The sequence below is a fragment of the Homo sapiens genome, chromosome 2 (assembly GCF_000001405.40).
Source record: "Homo sapiens chromosome 2, GRCh38.p14 Primary Assembly".
Lineage (NCBI taxonomy): Eukaryota > Metazoa > Chordata > Mammalia > Primates > Hominidae > Homo > Homo sapiens.
Window position 1 is genome coordinate 80,364,183 of NC_000002.12, and position 19,278 is coordinate 80,383,460.

The 19,278-nt window shown below is 39.5% G+C and overlaps 1 protein-coding gene across 14 annotated transcripts in view, besides 2 other annotated features; it reads left to right on the top strand.

Moving 5' to 3' along the window:
- Positions 1–19,278, top strand: part of CTNNA2 (catenin alpha 2) — a 1,463,404-nt gene that overhangs the window by 1,178,806 nt on the left and 265,320 nt on the right. The window lies entirely within an intron of this gene.
- Positions 504–1,289: an enhancer, noted in NCBI's record as "OCT4-NANOG hESC enhancer chr2:80591811-80592596 (GRCh37/hg19 assembly coordinates)". NCBI's record gives its function as "activates a minimal SCP1, AML or CMV promoter by ChIP-STARR-seq in naive and primed H9 embryonic stem cells {active_cell/tissue: H9 hESC(naive and primed)}" and the evidence as "EXISTENCE:reporter gene assay evidence [ECO:0000049][PMID:30033119]".
- Positions 1,591–2,108: an enhancer, noted in NCBI's record as "NANOG hESC enhancer chr2:80592898-80593415 (GRCh37/hg19 assembly coordinates)". NCBI's record gives its function as "activates a minimal SCP1, AML or CMV promoter by ChIP-STARR-seq in primed H9 embryonic stem cells {active_cell/tissue: H9 hESC(primed)}" and the evidence as "EXISTENCE:reporter gene assay evidence [ECO:0000049][PMID:30033119]".

Below are 19,278 nucleotides of genomic sequence, written 5' to 3' on the forward strand. Positions count from 1 at the left end.
GTACCACTGAGATTGCTAAAAATAACTGTTCTCCTGTCTTGCTGTTTTGCCTATGATTCTCTTGGAGAAAAAAGCTTTGGAAAATAAACTTTTGAAGGCGTGTTTTTATAAATTATCTGATCACTTCTTCAGAGTTCAATAGAAAGGGTCAATTTTAAAATTAAAGCCTCTGTAACAAGATGTTCTTTTCTCTTTTCTCCTTTCCCTTTTTAAAACACAGTTTACAAAAAAGGAGATGGTGAAGCCTGAAAATATTAAATATAAACTCTTTGCCTTATTTTAGTCGTTCCTAAAATTATGGGTGTAATTTCAGTTTGTGTATTCTAAAAGTAAGTTTCCCATGGATGTCTGTATTATAATTTGAGAGAAAGTAATTTTTTTTTTTTTTTTTTTTCTGATGGTTCCTCACTTGTCAGTGGCTCCTAATGATTTACTTGATTTAAGTACTTTGTATCTTCCCTCTGACACTCCTCATACTTTTCTTTCCTCACCCCAGGTAATTGATGATCTGTAAATAAACACTTCAACTCATTAGAGAAGCTCACTGTTTAAAATAAGCCTGCAGAGAATCCTTTTGTTAAGGAAATAAGCCTTTTATAATCACCTCTGTGTCTTCTGCACAGATTTTTAGTCTATCAGCTTTTCCTTAAAGCAGAAAGTGTTTTATCTTTTCTAAGCAAGGGAAAGATTCCCTTGATATGTAGCTGGGCTCTAGAGGGGAGAACAGGGAAGAAACTCGGGTTTATGATTAGTGATGGGGTTAAATGCGATAGTAACAGCTCGATTTAGTGGCATTGGCTAAAGCGTGCTCCTACACACTGTAATCCAGTCATCTGTGGGGTTTGGCCTTCATGTAACATCACTTCTTTCTTTTTATCTACATACCTGCATACCTGGCCTTGTGCCTCTTCCCATTCCCCTGTAATTGGAAATGGCATCTATTTGGGGTTGTTGTCACCACCTTTACCGTATCTATTCAAAACTTAATCTACATACATCAAATCGTTCAAAGAAAACCTGTGCAATTCCAATCAACTCTAATATCCAGTTGTTTCTAACATGAAATTCAAGGGACTACTTCAAAGCCACTTGGAGAGTAGCTTTCTTCCCATCAAAGAATGAGTAGTAGGCACCCACTGTTCACTGTTGACATGCTGACAGTGCAGCCCTGCATAAACACAACCGCTTGCCCTCTCACAGCTTATATTTTAAAGGTTGTAAAATCTTGTTTTTGTCATATCTGGCAATAGTATTTTGTAAATTATTTTTTACATGATTTTTTAAAAATGTACTCATCAAAATGAGCTGGCACATATAAGCTCATTATATTTTTACATTTTAGCAAAAACACTGTCTTTTGCCTACAACATGATAGTTTGTGTTTTTTGGAAAAAAAAAAAAAACAACAACAACTCTATTATGGTCTTCATAGTGTTTCTAATTTCTAAAATCATTTTGGCCTGTAGACACTTTTAAAAAAAAGATGCTCTCTAAATATGAGGAACATAAGATTGTGTAACTGTTTTCATAAGTGAAAAACTTACACTTACCATTGTCATCTGAGAGGAAATAATGGTTTAATTAGTTTTTAGATAAAAAGATTTTTGCAATCAGACTGTGTTTGTAATGGCATTTATAAAACAATTTCCCCCTACAGTAGCATTGTAATTAAGACTTTCAATGAATCAGAGGAGAAGAGTGCATTTTTCCCCCTGTGGTCGGCTGTTATGCTTGCCCCTCGGGGCCTGCTGCTCTCCTGCATCAGGCTTGCACTAATGCCCACTAATGCCCTGTAATTGTGTTTCACTTCCTCTAATTAAACTGACAGGGAACTCGAATTGCTGTCACTTACCTTAATGATAGGGAAGGTAATGGGATTAGAATGTGGCAATTCTCACACAGAACACTTAACATCCCAAATACCAGTTTACCAGGAAGAATGCATTTCAGGGAAGACCTAAGGACTTCTGGGGTTCTGGTCCCACCTCTTGGGCAATACAATATGTGAGTTAGAAAGGTCACAAAGAATATCTTCTTCATGGGCGTGCTCCTCTGAACATCAGCTCCTGAAGATTTTAATGGATATTACAAGAGAAAAACATTTCTGAGGCCCAGTAGAAGTTGGAAAAGCAGGGTTAATCAAGTTAAACAGATTTCTTTTATTTGTCACTGTCAGTGCCTTGATACTTGCATTGATTTCTTTTCTTAAAGGTGCACTGTGGTGGCAGTGGCGGCGTGTGTGTATGCATGCATTTGTTTGTATAAAGTAGTTCACAGACGCATTTGCATATTTGATAACTTTTTTAGGGGCAAATTCAAGGCCTGGTGTCCTACAGATCATCTTTTGAGATCTGCAGATCTAGCCGATGAAGGCTGTCACATGGTTATTTAGTGATAGGCTCTCCAACCTTGTGGTGGTGGCCATGCATCCACCAGATATTGGATCAGCCTTCCTAAAATACCTCTTCAACTCCCTTTCATTGCCTCTCCCTTCTTCCTCCGCTGCTGTTGTTGCAGTGTGTCAAATCCCTCAGGCATATCGCTGTGAACCCCGAATATCTGAGACAGGTCTCAGTTACTTTAGAAAGTTTCTTTTGCCAAGGTTGCGGATGCACAGCTGTGACACAGCCTTAGGAGGTCCTGATGACATGTGCCCAAGGTGGTCGAGGCACAACTTAATTTTATACATTTTAGGGAGACATGAGACATCAATCAATATATGACAGATGTACATTGATTCCATTGGTTCCATCCAGAAAAGCGGGACAACTGGAAGCAGGGAGGGGGCTTCCAGGTCACAGGTAGGTGAGAGACAAATGGTTGCATTTTTTTTTTTTTTTGAGTTTCTGATTAGTCTTTCAAAAGGAGGCAATCAGATACACATGTATCTCAAAGAGCAGGGGGATGACTTTGAATAGAATGGGAGGCAGGTTTGCTCTAAGCAGTTCCCGGCTTGACTTTTCCCTTTAGGGTAGTGGGACCCCAAGATTTATTTTACTTTCACATTGCGTAGAAAAACGGAAAACAAAATACTTCATTATCACACTGTTTTTCCCTTCTATTCTGGGTGCTGCTGAACTAGAGTATACAATGCGGTGTTGTGGAGAGTGCACAGATTCACCCAGGTTTGAGACCTCCGACTGACTAGTCTTGTAACCACAGGCAAATTTCTTAAGGCCTCTGAAGCTCCATTTATGCGTTGATAAAAAGAAGCTTTAGGGTTTGGGGTTATTGTGGAGGTGGGAGAAAACGAATATAAGTCTCCTGGCCTGTAGCAGACATTCATTTAATGATAACTGTTATTATTATCTTAAGATTTTAAAACTTTTATTTGTTTTATTTTTTATTTTATTTTATTTTATTTTGCCAGCAGCTACCCTATGACCAATATCTAGATGCAAATTGAAAAGTTGGTTGAGCATTCAGCTCTTTATAAATAGCTTTATGCTTGGTAAAAACCAGCATTATGATTAACTTTTTTTTATAACTTTTATATCCTGCTTGTAATGGTGTGAAAAAAATGTTTAAAGATGTTGAAATAATGCAGTTTTTAAAAAAAGAGGTAAGTATTCAATATCAGCTCTACTAACTAGTAGGGATTACATTCTCTTCTTTCCTTTGGTTGTTTTTTATTTTGTTGGTTTGTTTTTATCATTCAGCTGAGTAGGATATCAGAAATAGTAAGCATCTGCTCCATTGAGATTCGTAGCAACTTGTTAATTTCAGGTGGGATTGTGTTTAGATGTGACTTTTGGCAGTTGAGTTCCAAGATGTTTATCAGTTTGCTCAGACTGTTATCATCATAATTTAGAAATCCACGTTACCAAATAAATGCATGCAAAAAATGACTTCTGAAAGCTTGACACATTCATAGAAAGATATTCCTGTGGTAGAGATCACACAATATCAATTTAGAATTTGATTGAACCTCAGAGGCCATATCAATGTCATACACTGTTTTGGCATATATTTACATTTAAGCTCTGAATTTCTCCCCTCTCCTGTCTATGTAATCTTTACCATTTTTAGACTTTCAGCATCTGCAAAGAGAGATTATAAAATACTACCCAAGTTATGGGTTGCACTGAGGATTAAAATGAAATAAGGCATTGAAAAGTATTTCATAGACTGGGAAATGTTGTCTACATTTTAGCTAGTTAGATTTTAAATTATTAGTAGTAATAGGGTGCATGTAGAGGACAGAAATTGTCTCACGCTGTAAAGCTAATTCCCATCATATAATCTCCTTTCTATAAATTTTTACGTGCATGTGCTAAATTTGGAGAATTGAATGCACTATACACAGATGCCATTTTTTTTTTAACCATTTTTGCTTCAGTTTAGAAAGCAGGCCAATGTGGGTACAAAAAGTAAGCCTTAACACAAAGGCCTGTGAAAAGTATCCAATTAGCCTGATTGATCTATTTTGTGCACAGATTTATTCTTAAGGCACTTACATGATACAGATGTTCTGGGAGATGTCAAATTTTCCTTTTGTGACAGCAAACTCCAAATTTAGGGGCATATTCTAAATATCTCTAACTGTTTTTAGCAGCCTGTTTTCAATGGCTGATAGGTTTGCCATTTTTAGCAAAAAAAAAAAGAAAAGAAAAGAAAAGAAAATGAAAAACAGTATGTGTATATATATATGTGTGTGTGTATATATGTGTGTGTGTGTGTGTGTGTATATATATATATATATTTGGCACGCTAGGCTAGTGGGTAGGAATGAGAAATGATGGTAGGAGAACTGGTGAAGTTTGGAACTGTCAGGTCAGCTGGGTGACTGTGCTCCAGGATATTGTAGTATACTTTTCTTGAACCCTATGTCTAAAGCTATAGGGTTAGTCAGCTCAGAGCAATACTTTGAAGAACAGGTTCATAAAGTTTATTTTCACTATATAGAGCATTTTGTTTGTCCTACAACCCCCTTCCTCAAGCTTCCAAAGAGGAGTGAGAGGTGCCTGGGCAGATAATCCCACCATCTTATTCTTATCTTTTTATACCTATGCAAGTTATAGTGAACTAGGATTTTAAACGTTTTAGGTTATTTTGCCACAAAGGATATATTTCTCCCCCACCATTTTCATATATCTAAACGTTTAGAAAGGACACTTAAAAATAAGGCAGGGACTTCTTAAAGGGATAAATTTCTCTGTATCTTAGAAAGTTGGGGAATATACATATTCTTTGACCTAGTAATCTACTTCTAGGAACCTGTTCTACGCAAGTGCTCACCCAAGCATGCAAGAATGTACATATACAGATGCCCACTGCCTTATTCTTTGTAAAAGTGAAATATTGAAATTGTGGTAGGCAGAAAAATGGCTCTCAAAGGATATCCACGTACTAAGTCCTGGAACCCATGAATATGTTATGGCTCTCAAAGGATATCCACGTACTAAGTCCTGGAACCCATGAATATGTTACCTTATATGGAAAAGGAATTTCACAGATGTGATTAAGGTTAAAGACCCTGAGATGGGGAGAGTGTCTTGGATTATCAGGTGGATCCAGTTTAATCATTTGAGTCTTCAAAGGTAGAAAATCTTTCCTGGCTAGAGTCAGAGAGAGACGGAACTACAGAAGCACAGCCAGAGAGATGCTAAATTGCTAGCTTTGAAGATGAAGAGAGGAATGAGCCAAGAAAGTGGGCTGTTTCCAGAAGCAGGAAAAGGCACGGAAACAGATTCTCTTCTAGCACCTCCAGAAAGGAGTGTATGCCTGACCACACCTTGATTTCAATGCTATAGGATTTCTGACCTACAGAACTTAAGACAATATATTTGTGCTATCTTAAGCCACTAAGTCTGGTAATTTGTTATGACAGCAGTAGAAAACTAATTTGGCAACACAGATGCTAAAATATAGGGAAACACTTAAACGATAGCTCACTCCAAGTAGCAAGTATCATGAATTCACAACAAAAGGTTGAGGCATTTATATTGTACTGCCATGAAACATGGAAGAGTGTTGGTGAACTCTTGCTGAGTGAAAGAGGTAGGAGAACTCAGTGCAGCCATTGTATCCTATTTCAGCGAAAAAATATTGTATATGAACATATTTGAGTGGTGTGTGTGTGTGTGTATGTGTTTGTGTGCGTGTGTGAATGGAAAAAGATCTATAGCTACCTAGTGAAATATTACCAACAATTTCAGGGCAGGAAGGGCTGTGTGTTTGTGGAAAGGGGGGAATTCACCTTTTACTTTATTCATATAAATATTGTTCAAAATGTTTAATATAGACTATTGTGTAACTTTAAATACCATTTTTTAAATATGGAGGAAAAATATAGCCATAATAAGGCCAAGTCAATGCTGATTCATTGACAACTAGCCAGAAGACTTTGGTGTGTCACCTTGACCAAGGATGACTTAACTATCGAGGAGAAAAAAACTTAAAAATTATCTAGTTCTAACACCTTGCTTTAGAGATAAGAAAGCTGGGATCTAATACAGTTCAGTGACTTTCCTGTCCTCACAGAAAGACAAAGAAGAAAATGGCAAATAAGATAAAGATATTCTGGCTTTTCACTATACCACACAGCCACTTACTTGTGTTTGTTACTGAAAGGTTAAAGAAATATCTTTTCTTACTCATCACTAGGTTCATGGCTGAGGCCCCTGTAACAAAAGGCAGATTAGTAACAGAAAAGCATACAAGTGTATTTAGTATGTTTTACATGACACAAGAGGCTTCATAAAGAAATGAAGACCCAATGAAATAAGTAAATCTACATATTTTTTAATGCTAGGTTTGATGATGACATAAATAGTTGTAGAGAAGTATGATTGAGCAAAAACGATATGATCTAATGGTAAGAAACGGGAGGAAACAGCATGGCCTGATTTTCACTTTCTTTTCTGTATCCCTATATCTTCAGAGTTAAGAATGTTCTTTCCCTTCAGGGTTAGGAAGGGTACTTCTCAAATGAGGGTCATATGACTGGCTTGAGGGGAGAAATTCAAGAAGAAGGTGAGAGTGACCTTTCTGCTTCTGCAGATTTCTCAAATGCCAAGATGCCATATATTGAGGTAGCATGTCCTGAACTCCATCATTACACAGCAAAAGCCATATGGCTGTCACATGATAGGCACTCAGATGAATTGTCCAAAATGTGGCCAATTCTGATTTTAACATTTACCCATAGCAGTCATTATCAGCAAATATGTATCAGATGTCAACTAAATATGAGGTAGTGAAGTGTTAACAATATAAAGATAATGATGATATAGTAGTATTATGAATAGCATAGACAAAGAAACCTGCAATTTTAGGATGACAGGAACCATGGTAGAAAGATGCATGAAGTGCAGTGCATACACACACACACACACACACAAAGGAACAAATAATGTTTGAGGAAATCAGGGATTTTTTTTTTTTTTTTACAGAGAAGATAATATTTGAATGAGATCATCAATAAACAGGTGAAGAGAGAATGGGGAGCATTGTAGATTCTAACACAGTGGTCAATGTTATTGAATAAAATGATGGAGGGAATGTCAGCAGTGAGAATGCCACGTGAAAGAGCCTAGAGGCATGAAAGCACAGTCTATTTGAGCAATGGAGGTGGAAGGTAAGGTTGGAGAGCAAACCTGAAGTCAAATTGCCCAGGACCTTCTTGGACTTATCTTGTAGATGATAGGTTGGCATTGGAGAATTTCAGGCAGGTGAGTGAAGTAATGTATGCTTATTAGAGGTAATGATTAAATAATGGACTTGATTTTCACAGAGTGAAACTGGTGACATGAAATGACGTAAAATAGCTGGCCTAATAATTTTTCAGCTCCAGACTTAATTGAACTAATAATAAGGTGGTCATAAAACTTGTCGTCCGAATTGAAGCACTTTATAGAGTGAAAGGAGGCATTATTATCAACTATGCAAGGACAATATAAGAAATTTTGAAGGAATCATCTCCCTCCCTATGAAACAAATTCATGCAGGTGTGAGATGATTGGATTTATGGATGATAATTAGCTGGCAGGTTGATATTTGAGGACTCTCAAACATAAGGCCAATCCATGGACTCTCATGACTATAGGATGGATGCTGTGGAACCCCAGAACCTCTCCACTATAACCTTTACTCATTGCCTTAAACCAGTCTCAAATTTACATTATTTCAATAATATATTTATTTAGGGCCACAAATCCCCATGCAAGCTCCATTTTTAGAGAAGTTTTTTTTTTTTTTTTAAGCTGTTGGCTACTTTAGCCCTCATGTAGCAAAGGTTGCTCTTTCTTAAAATTTCTCTGTCCTTCCTAAAGAATTAATTGGACTTGAGTGTAGAACCTGGATTTGATCCTGGGTTTATCTCTCACTCTTTGGCCCTTGAACATGTTCATTGGTGTCTTTGAGCATACCTGTAAAATGTTTATCATATGAGTATGTCATAAGAATTAAATAAACAATCAAGGTCAAGTGTTTGACACACAGTAGACACCCAAAAAATAGACATTGTCTTCATTTCATATCTCTTCATTGGGAAAACAGCTTTTTTTTTTTTTTTATTGAGCCACGTTACTTCTCAGTCAATTTGCATTGTATCTGTATCATAGCATTTGTCTTACTCTATTTTAATTACTTTAAAAATTATGTCTCATTTGTTAAGCCAGTTGTTCCCAAGTGGGAAAATTTTGCTCCCCCCTTCCCCAGGATACTTAGCAATGTCTGGAGATATTTTAGATTGCCATAACTGGGGGAAAAATACACTGGAATCTAATTAGCAGAGACCAGGGATGCTGTTAAATATTCTACAATGCCTAGGGTAGCCCTCCACAACAAAGAATTATCCAGCTCAGAATGTCAATAGTGCTGACATTTAGACTACAAGCTTTAGACGGTAACTCCATGCAGATTGTGACCATGATTGTGTTGCCATGGCCCAGTGCCTAGCCCTGTGATCATTCTAGGAGTCTCAGTGTTAATTAGTGGAGTGGAAGAATCAGGACCTGATCATTCTATGAGTCTCAGTGTTAATTAGTGGAGTGAACAAATCAGGACCTGATCATTCTATGAGTCTCAGTGTTAATTAGTGGAGTGAATGAATCAGGACCAATGGTTTAGCCATGATCCAGCTTTGCATGTATTTCTTCACTCCCTTTAGTCAACATGTAGGTTGTTTTCATGGTATCTCAAGCACACAGCTACCCACTGCTTGCTTGGAGTACTAGGAATAGTAAACCTGAACTCTGAAAGGGACATCATTAAAGAAATATTGCCCATAAGGGGATAGGTATCATATAGTTACCTAAAATACTTCAAGTTTCTTAATCAAAAGCACCTGCAAGCTTTCACATAGCATATAGAAGTTCTATTTTTTACCTGAATTAAACCGTGAGAGAGCATGAGATTAAATTTGTCTCTGGATGCTTACTGAAATGAGAAATATTTGAGGACCAATAAGGAAGGTGGCTTTACTTTGCTTTATTTATTTATTTACTTACTTACTTATTATTGAATTATTTTGCATCCTATAGCTGCCAATTTCTAATAAGAGATGTAAGACTCTAGAAGGAGCTTGAGAAAGCCTGAGGAAACCAGCCTGGCATTCAGACCAAGAAACCTGCTCCTGGGCTTGGGAAATTTCTAATTGTTGGATGAGATGCTGCTCTTTTGTTATTCAGACAAACTGATTGACGTGAGTCTTGTGCTGTGAAATACTGAAGAGCTTTCCGAGAATTCACACAAGAGATTTCTGGAGCCTGTCACATCCTCCCTACCTGTCCTCATCTCAGCTCTCTAGAACTCCTTGTAGCCTAATCAGTAATGTCATCAAACCTCAACAAACCATTACTCTGGTATTTCCTGTTACACCATATCTTAGTTTGCTAGGGCTACCATAACAAAATACCAAAGACTGGGAAACTTTAAAAAAAAAAAAGATTTCAACTCTTATTTTTGATTCAGGGCAACAGGTACAGGTTTGTTATATTGATGGACTGTATGATGCTGAAGTTCGAGGTGCAGGTCCCATCATCCAGGTAGTAAACATAGTAATCAACAGGTAGTTTTTCAGTCCTCCCTGGCTTCCTCTCTTTCCACCCTGGTAGTTCCTAGTATCTATTGTTTCCATCTTTCTGTACCAATGTTTAACTCTCACTTATAAGTGAAAACATGTGGTTTTTGGTATCTGTTTCTGTGTTAATTTGCTTACGATAATGGCTGCCAGCTGCATCCATGTTGCTGAAGGAACATGATTTTGTTCTTGTTATGGCTGTGCAGTATTCCATGGTGTATATGTAACACATCTTCTTTAACCAATTTACCGTTCATGGGTACCTAGCTTGATTCCATGTCTTTGCTGTTGTGAATAAGATGGAGACTTATTCACAGAAAACAACAGAAATTTGTTTTCTCACAGTTCTGGAGACTAGAAGTCTGAGATGAAGGAGTCAACAGGGTTGGTTTCTTCTGAGGCCTCTGACCTTGACTTGGAGATGGTGATCTTCTCCTTCGGCCCTCACACTGTCTTTCCTCTGCGTGCGTGCGTGCGTGTGTGTGTGTGTGTGTGTGTGTGTGTGTGTGTCCTAATCTCTTCTTTAAGGATACCAGTCATATTGGATTAGGGCTGAGATCGTTAGGACTAATGATCTCATTTTAACTTAATTACCTCTTTAAAGGTCGTATCGCCCAAATATAGTCACATTCTGAGGTCTTAGGGTTTAGCACTCCACAATGTGAATTTGAGGATGGGGGAGACACAGTTCAGCCCACATCACACCTCTACAGGACTCAACATTACATAGGTGCCCAATAAACACTTACTTAGTGGAATGATATATCGTTTGAAATGGAGTGTGGTGGCAGGCTCCTTCAGCCCAGATGATGTGATTTGCAGCCTGCAGATTCTTCCCCACCCCAGGCGAGCACAGATGGAAGCCTACTCCTTCTACCCCTGGAGTCACTGTGCTTAAGAAAACAAAATTATGATACTCAGACTGTATTTAATGTTTATTAGGTTGGAAGTTCTTTCTTTGTTTTCCATTTAACAGGCTTTGGTTAATCACAGGAGAACGGACACAAGGGAGAAGAGAGGGTTGGGATAGCCTCGGGAAAGGCACAGGAGGTCCTCTGGAGGGAAAAGGGCCTCCCCAGGAGGTAGGGATTTCTATGGAGCTCTCAGGATGAGGAAGAGAGGGGGAAGGGAGGTATACAGTTTGGTTCTTATAAACCTGGCTTTGTGTTTGTTTACATGTAGGTTGTGGGGATAGGGGTGGATTGCCAGGAAACTTTGAGCTTGGCACCAGTCTGGCTTCTGTACAGGTAATGAAAAGACTTGAACCCATAACATGGTGACCCACCCTCAAGTCAGACTTATAGCTGGTTTTACTCAGGACTTTTTACTACCTTTTGATTCCTGGTTTCTGGCTTCTTTTTTTTTTTTTTTTTTTTGAGATGGAGTCTCACTCTGTTGCCCAGGCTGGAGTGCAGTGGCGTGATCTCAGCTCACTGCAAGCTCCGCCTCCCAGGTTCATGCCATTCTCCTGCCTCAGCCTCCCAAGTAGCTGGGACTACAGGCGCCCGCCACAATGCCCAGCTAATTTTTGTATTTTTAGTAGAAACAGGGTTTTACTGTGTTAGCCAGGATGGTCTCGATCTCCTGACCTCATGATTCACCCGCCTCGGCCTCCCAAAGTGCTGGGATTACAGGCATGAGCCACCATGCCTGGCCTTCAAGTCAGACTTATAGCTGGTTTTACTCAGGACTTTTTACTCACTTTTGATTCCTGGTTTCTGGCTTCCCTTTCTGACTTCCTCTAAGTACCTCCTATTTTGGTAGTAGAAATGGGATCTCTGGCCAGTTTTATTCCCTTGGTAGTTCCTGCTTTGGATCCACCACAGCACACAGAAGCTCCAGGATAAGGTCTGAAGGTCTGAGTCACTCTTTGCCTTAAACTATAAAAATGAATCTTTTTTTTGCCCCTCCCACATCTCTACCATTATTTGATTTTTTTTCCCCTCAGTTTTTTGTTTAGAGTCATACATATGTCTAATTCCTAAATCCTAAATTCCTAATGAACTGATTTCCTATGGGACCAGAGTTTGTTTTATTTAACTCTTTAAGTTTTCTTCTCCCACCCTTCACACAGAGGTTTCCATCTTGCCTTTCTATTCTATCTGTTTAGGGAACAGCTGTCTATTTTCTAGAATGACAACCATTTTAGGTCACACCTTCATTAAGAAACTTTTGCCAGCTACTGGACTTAGTAGACATGCCAGCAAACTAGAGAGATGAAGTTCCTAATTGAGGTTTATAGGCTAATGGTAGAAACAGGAAAAAAAAAAAAAAACGGTAAGTAAATTGTCTATGTAACATCCTTCTTAGTTTTATTAGTGTTTTAGCAGGGAACTTCTGGAGTCATTACAAATGAGTTACAATAAAGAATTGTACATTAAAGAATGATAGATAGATCTCTAGACTTTGCATCATGGTGGAGAGGACATTTAGAAAAGAATGTTTTTCTTGCTGTTCAGACCCAGCTCTGGAGGCTGCTACCTTCTGAGGTGTGTATAAGTGATTAGCAATTCCCTTCGAGGACTCCCCATCAGTGTGGGGCAGACATGGAAAGCCTGCTGCATCTGGCTTTCTAATTTCTGCAAGGCCATCCCTTCCTTGATATGCCAAGTGAGGGTGACTGAAATAGAATCCACTCTTGATGCTTGGGGGATCTCCCTCTTTCTGGCAGTTACAGGTGCTCAGTTTGATTACAATCATCAGTGAGGTGTGTTCATTACTGATTTCATTACCCATGCAGAGGACTGAAAAGGAGGAATCAGTCCCCAGCATTTGCTCCCCATCTTTCCCCAGTAGAAGCTACCACGGTTGTCAGAGCTTGAATTCCTCATGACTGGACTATAGAAGTGAAATATCAGGGTCAATGTCTGGTTCTCCTTTTTCATTTGCCTCATATATGAGTATGTCATGAATGGATTTTAACTTGGTGAAAATTTCACAAGTGTTAAATATTACTCAGATGCTCAAAGATTTCCAAATGGCAAGTCTTGGTAAATCCAGATCCAGCCTATAAAACAATTTATTCTCCCTAGACATTCAATCCATCTGTCTTCCATTTATCCATAGTTCAGATTCTTGGCACTGTGCCTTTCCTTAGGAAGCTTACTATCACAAGAGGAAAAGATCAGGGTAAGGAATTTGCTTATTGGATACCATTTTCATGCTAGACTCAGAGATAGACATGTTGTATGCATTTTCTTATTTTTACCATAATCTTGGGTTAGGCATTATTTTCACTATTCTGCAGATGAGAACTGAGATTCAGTGAGTTTAGGAAAATTGCCCAGCCTCACACAGCTGAGCAGCTGAGATGTAATGTAAGTCTGTGTCTACTTCGAAAGCTCTTGGAAGGAAAGGAAGGCATGTGGGAGAGCATGAAGGTTGAGGAGGTAGGAAGACTGGAAATTGCATTTGCATTGTGATTTTACATAAGAAGGTAAAATGAGATAACATTGATTTATTTATCAAAGCATCCGTCTTTCCCCACCCTAAGTCTTAGTGTCATAAGCCTTCTAGGAGACTAAGATGAACCTTGGAGCTAGCACTATGGCTTTCCATGGCGACACATGGCCGGATAGGTAGCTCTGGATGCAAATAAGCAGGTTGGTATGAGATTCTGGAAGAACTAAGATTTTGGAATTTATCTTCCTCGGTCATCTATGGTCCCATCTCTCATCTGTGGCCAGAGGAAACTTGGCCTTAACATTCTTTGACTCCCAAGTCTAATGTCACTACAAGACTTTATTGAGTACAAGGGAAACTCCTTTTGGGGGCATTGTGCCTGACACTGGGAGATGTGGTCTCTCCCTGACATAGTTTAAACTCTATCTACTGGGAGAGTACCTGCTTACAAATAGCAGAGAAGGGGGCCAGGCGCAGGTGGCTCAAGCCTGTAATCCCAGCACTTTGGTAGGCCGAGGTGGGCGAATCACGAGGTCAGGAGTTTGAGACCAGCCTGCCCAACATGGTGAAACCCCGTCTCTGCACTAAACATGCAAAAAATTAGCCGGGCATGGTGGCGCGCCTTTAATCCCAGCTACTTGGGAGGCTGAGGCAGGAGAATCACTTGAACGCAGGAGACGGAGCTTGCAGTGAGCAGAGATTGCGCCATTGTACTCCAGCCTGGGCAACAAGAGCAAAACTCTGTCTCAAAAAATAAATAAATAAATAAATAAATAAATAAATAAATAAATAAATAAATAACAGAGAAGACATAATGTCACATGAACTTGCAGTATACACACACACACACACACACACACACATTCATTCATATGCACACATTCAAATGCAAGGCATGATCACAACATTTTTATTTTACTCTGCTGTGTTGTATATATGATTAACAAATGCATCATCAGCAGTTTAGGAGTTATTGTCAACCTACTCCAATAGTTTCCTATAATCAGTGTTAAAAATCCAGTTTTCCATAGGGCCGATGACATAATTAGAAGCAACAATAGTTCATTCCCCTCAGCTTATTCTGAGTGAACAGAGAAGCTTCAAGCACCCACCTTTAGCCCTACTCTTGCCTTTTTCATCAGGGCTTGGAAGACAGGGAGTAGCTACAGCCAGGTATCTGACTATGAGGGATGCGGGGTGAGACCACTTGGTGCCAGCTTTCCCCAAGAAGGCTATTCAGGGCTTTCTTTGTCTGCCCGACATCAGAAAGCACTGATCTGTCGTGGTATCGGGAAGAGAGTTCTGTGTAGGCTCTGGGGTCAGGGAGAGGCAGGGTTTTATCTTGGCTGTAGAGGATGCTTCAGGATGGGGAAGAGGGCAGAAGTGGGATTTAGGAGATTATTATGGGGTGCTCAGAGAAACTCTTCTTCTTGAGGGCTGGGGCATAATTACAAGGGAACGGAAAGGTTGGGATCATAGAAAGAGGAACTTGGGAGTGAATTTTCTTAAAATATTAGGAAATCAGCATAGTGTAGACAGGTTTACAAGCAGAAGCTCTGAAATATTGCCTGTATCAGGATCCTGGTTTTTTGTTTTACTTTTGTAAACTTGCAAAAGTTTCTTAAGCTCTTTATGCCTTAGTAAGATCAGCAGTCACTTTTATCTCTTTGTCCATCGTCTCAGCTAACCTTATTTGATGTCTACAGGTGGATATGACAATAACAGTCAAAGAATTTGGGAAGCTGGTATAGCTTTTTCTTTCTTTGTGCAGGGACTTTTTTTGAAATGTTGTTACAGGGTATGCCTAGCCTGTATTGTTTTAGTGTGTCAGAAAGTGTGGCTTTTCTCTTCTAATTAAGTGGTTTGATTATGAATCTCTTGGGTTTTTTTAGATATAGTGACTAATTCACTGGGAATTAAGCAGAATTGCCATAATTGTGGATTTTGGTTCTATTTCAGGTGTACTTCCAGTAAATGGTTACAAAAATAAGTTCCCAAATTAGGTTAAACAATGGAATTTTGAAGGAAATATGAAAATACAGATTCCTAGGCCACAATTGGAGAGATTGATTAATCAAATGATTTGTTGGTTTGAAACCCATTGAACTATCCTCCTGTTTCAAGAATTTATCTATAATTTAAAAATGTTTATTAAAATGGAAAATTTCCATGCCCTACCCTAGAGATACTGAAACAGAGTATTTTGGGAAAGGGACCAGGAATCTTCATTTGTTATAACTATCTCCTATTAACAGTTTTAAGCCTATGGACTATTGAGTCTAAGACTCTCCTATTTATTTTCTCATTTTTTAGCCACCATTTACCACTATTTAACCAGCAGCAGCACCCTGAGGACCTAAGTTACGTAAAAGTTTTCATTAGCAGCCATTCATCAATGTCTTGCACTGTTCGAGATGTACTTTTTTTTTTTTTTTTTTTTTTTTTTGAGACGGAGTCTCACTCTGTCGCCCAGGCTGGAGTGCAGTGGCACGATCTCGGCTCACTGCAAGCTCCGCCTCCCGGGTTCACGCCATTCTCCTGCCTCAGCCTCCTGAGTAGCTGGGATTACAGGTGCCTGCCACCATGCCCGGCTAATTTTTTGTATTTTTGGTAGAGACGGGGTTTCACCGTGTTAGCCAGGATAATCTCGATCTCCTGACTTTGTGATCCTCCCACCTTGGCCTCCCAAAGTGCTGGGATTACAGGCGTGAGCCACCGCACCTGGCCAGAGATGTACTTTTGGGAAGAGATGTTGCTCTTCTGAATTTCTAAGCAGACAGGGAGGAACAACTGAGAAACTCTCAGCCTCCCGCAAGGGCTCTGAGGAGGCCTTGGAGGTCAGGAGCCAGCAATGGAGAATTAAGTCTCTCCCAAGAAGTTCTCCCAGTTTTGGCTGTTCAGCCTTTTTCACTTATAGCCGAAGACTTTGTGTTGTCATAAGAATCCAGTGAAGTGTGAGATATATGCGCAATCTGAAAAGGTATAAGCTTGTAGGATGATAACCTAGGCAAAGGTCTTATTGTGTGTATTTTTTGTTTTTGTGTTTTCCTTCCCTACAGCTGGCCTGCAGAGATTACAATGCACTTCTTAAAATTCCATGCAGACCTAGCAAACTTTCATTTAGATGCCAGCATAGGAAGGAAGATCTCAGTGTATGACTGGATGTAATATGCATTCTCAAGTCTCCCCCTTCATAGACACAGTGTACGCTACAGAGAGCAAAGTGTAATTTTAAGAACCTTGTAATTCTTTACAAATTAACACAGCAGATGGTGTTTATGGGAGCCACAGAGTGAGGAATATTTGGGACGATGTGAGACATGTGTTCCAGGGTTTCGGCCTGCTTTCTACATAGTTTAGTTTTTAACTGTCATGCTACAAAAATTCCATTTTGCCTCATAAAGTTTTCATTGGTTCCAAGTGTGAGGGAATGCCCCAAGAGATAGTACTAGTATGACAGACTCCAAGCATGCTCAGTGAGGTCCCTGATTCACCTAAGCCTGAGGAGTGCCAGTGGCTTGCACCTTCGTGTTCAGGAGGTGGTAGTCTCCTGGGTGTTGGTGCTGGGGTTGGGGGCAGCCTGGCCTTCCCCCAGCTTGGAGATCAGTTTGAGAAGTCGAGGAAGAGCACAGAGCTTGATAAGCTTCACCCAAAGCAAGCAAAAGACAGCATAAGTGGGCTAACAATAAGGTTAGCACCTCTAGATTGGGGCTTGTTAGTGTGCAAATAGTTAAAATATTTCTTTGGTTGTTTTAACTGTTCATATAATTAAAAAGAAGACCTTATTTCTGTGCTAGTTCCCTCATAATGTTAAGAATTAAAGTGCTTGGGACCTGTGTGCTTGCTTTGAAGACAGTGCTGGCATTTTGGAGGGGGACATGAGAGGGAGAAAACAACGAGATAGAGATTGAAAGATGGTGCTGCCAGAGAGGACAGGAAGAGGTCATTCTCACAGGCTTTGGCAAAGACAAAGAGAGGTCAGAGTTGATTTGGGCAGGCAAAACAGCCCTGGCTCTGGCACTAGAGTGGAGATACCTTTGGGATCCCCTAGGATGCAAAGAGTCCTTGGTGCTCCCAAACCTTGTACTTCTTCTGCCCACTGGCACCCACATACTTTCCTCACTTTCCTTTGCTGCGGGGCTGGCAATGGGAAAGGTCCTAGGTGTTCTCAAACACATCCTGCCTCCTTGTTCCATTAAGGGTTCTCATCTCTTAGAAGCACCATTTTATCGAATCTATTCTCTTTCAGTTCCTACTGTTTTCAAGCTTATCTACTCCCACCACTCACTACTTTGATAAAAGCCATTTACTCTTTGTACTTCTTCTTCCAAGGGTATATACATCTTAATCCTATGCATACAATCAAAAGCTTTGGCTCCTAGAAATTTCCATCTTTTTCCCGCATAGGGGAGGTATTTGAGCAGGGAAGAAAGGGAATGAGTGTATAAAGTGTAAAAAGGGAATGAGAGTAGGCAACAATATGACTCTACCGTTGGTGAAGTCGCAGCGAGCCACCAATTCCACCTCTGCACCTAGCCTTGTCTCCAAAGATCGGTATCATGTAATTAAGCCAAGTAGCTAGAATACTATTTCATTCATAGCCAATACATATTTATATGTACATATCTATACATATTTCTAATTTGCTTAGCACCGATTCTGTGTAAGGCACTGTGCCAGAAACTTCAGTTTCAAGGAAATGTAATGGTCTGACACTTTCCTATCCTTGGGCAGCTGTGCCTTTAATTGGATAAAAAAAAAAAAATGCTCATGACAAGTTTCTGAACACTACAGGATAGTAATGATGCAGCTTATATTATTTGTATACCGTCTGACATCGGAAATTCAATTAACAATGCAAGAGGTTTGCACAATATAGAATTATTTCCTTGGTGAGAATTGTTCATAAAGAACCAAATAAATGGTAGAGATGGCTATAGGCACACAGAAGAGGCTGGGTTTCTGTGAACTGGGAGGGCAGGGAAGGGGTGATGGAGGAATTACAACATGAGCTGGCTCTTGATAGAATGGTAAATGAGGCACAGGGAGGTCAAGACTGTGGATCCCCACATAGACATACTTTCCATAAATTAAGGTTACCCTCTGCCTGAATGTTTTCTGATTTCTGTGAATTCTCAGCAATGTGGACCCAGTTATTGACCTCTTTTTGAGATGGTAGAAAAATGCCAGACTCTAGGGATTCTTTAGGTGTTGAAAGCTTTAACAGTAGCTGAGTGGTTTGGGGAATATGCACTTAAAAATGAAATGGAACTTTTAATTTCATTGAAATTTAAATTATTTATTCAGTTTGGGTATGTGTGTGTGTATCTGTGTATAAAATCAATGGGAATTTGCACTTTTGCCTTAACTACTTTTATCTCAACTGTAAAGATGAAATGGCATTTTTTAGCAGTTTGCTCAGTTCATGGTCTCTTGCAGGCTTAGAAGGGGTATGTGGTTAATTAACCCCAGCTTTTAGCAATCACCCAAGCTCAGGGGGTTGGCACTATGAAAAATGTCTTTTATGCAGGGTTGCCTGGCAAGTAATCACTGAGGACTACACCTGTGTTGATAAAATAAATCAAGGAACAAGAATTGTAACCTTACACAGGTGCCAACTACTTCCTATGGCTTTGATCAGCAAATTGTGAAGTGGGTGAAATTTATTTTTAGGACTCCATATTTTCCAAATCATCTATCCCTTTCATACCTGCTGCCTATCCCCAGGTGCCTACTTGGACCATCCATCTTTCTATCAATAAACAAGCATTTCCTGACCATGTCTTAAGAGTTTCATCCTGAGTTCTTTGGGAGAAAACCAGGCACATTCTACTCACAAAAAGCTTGGGTTG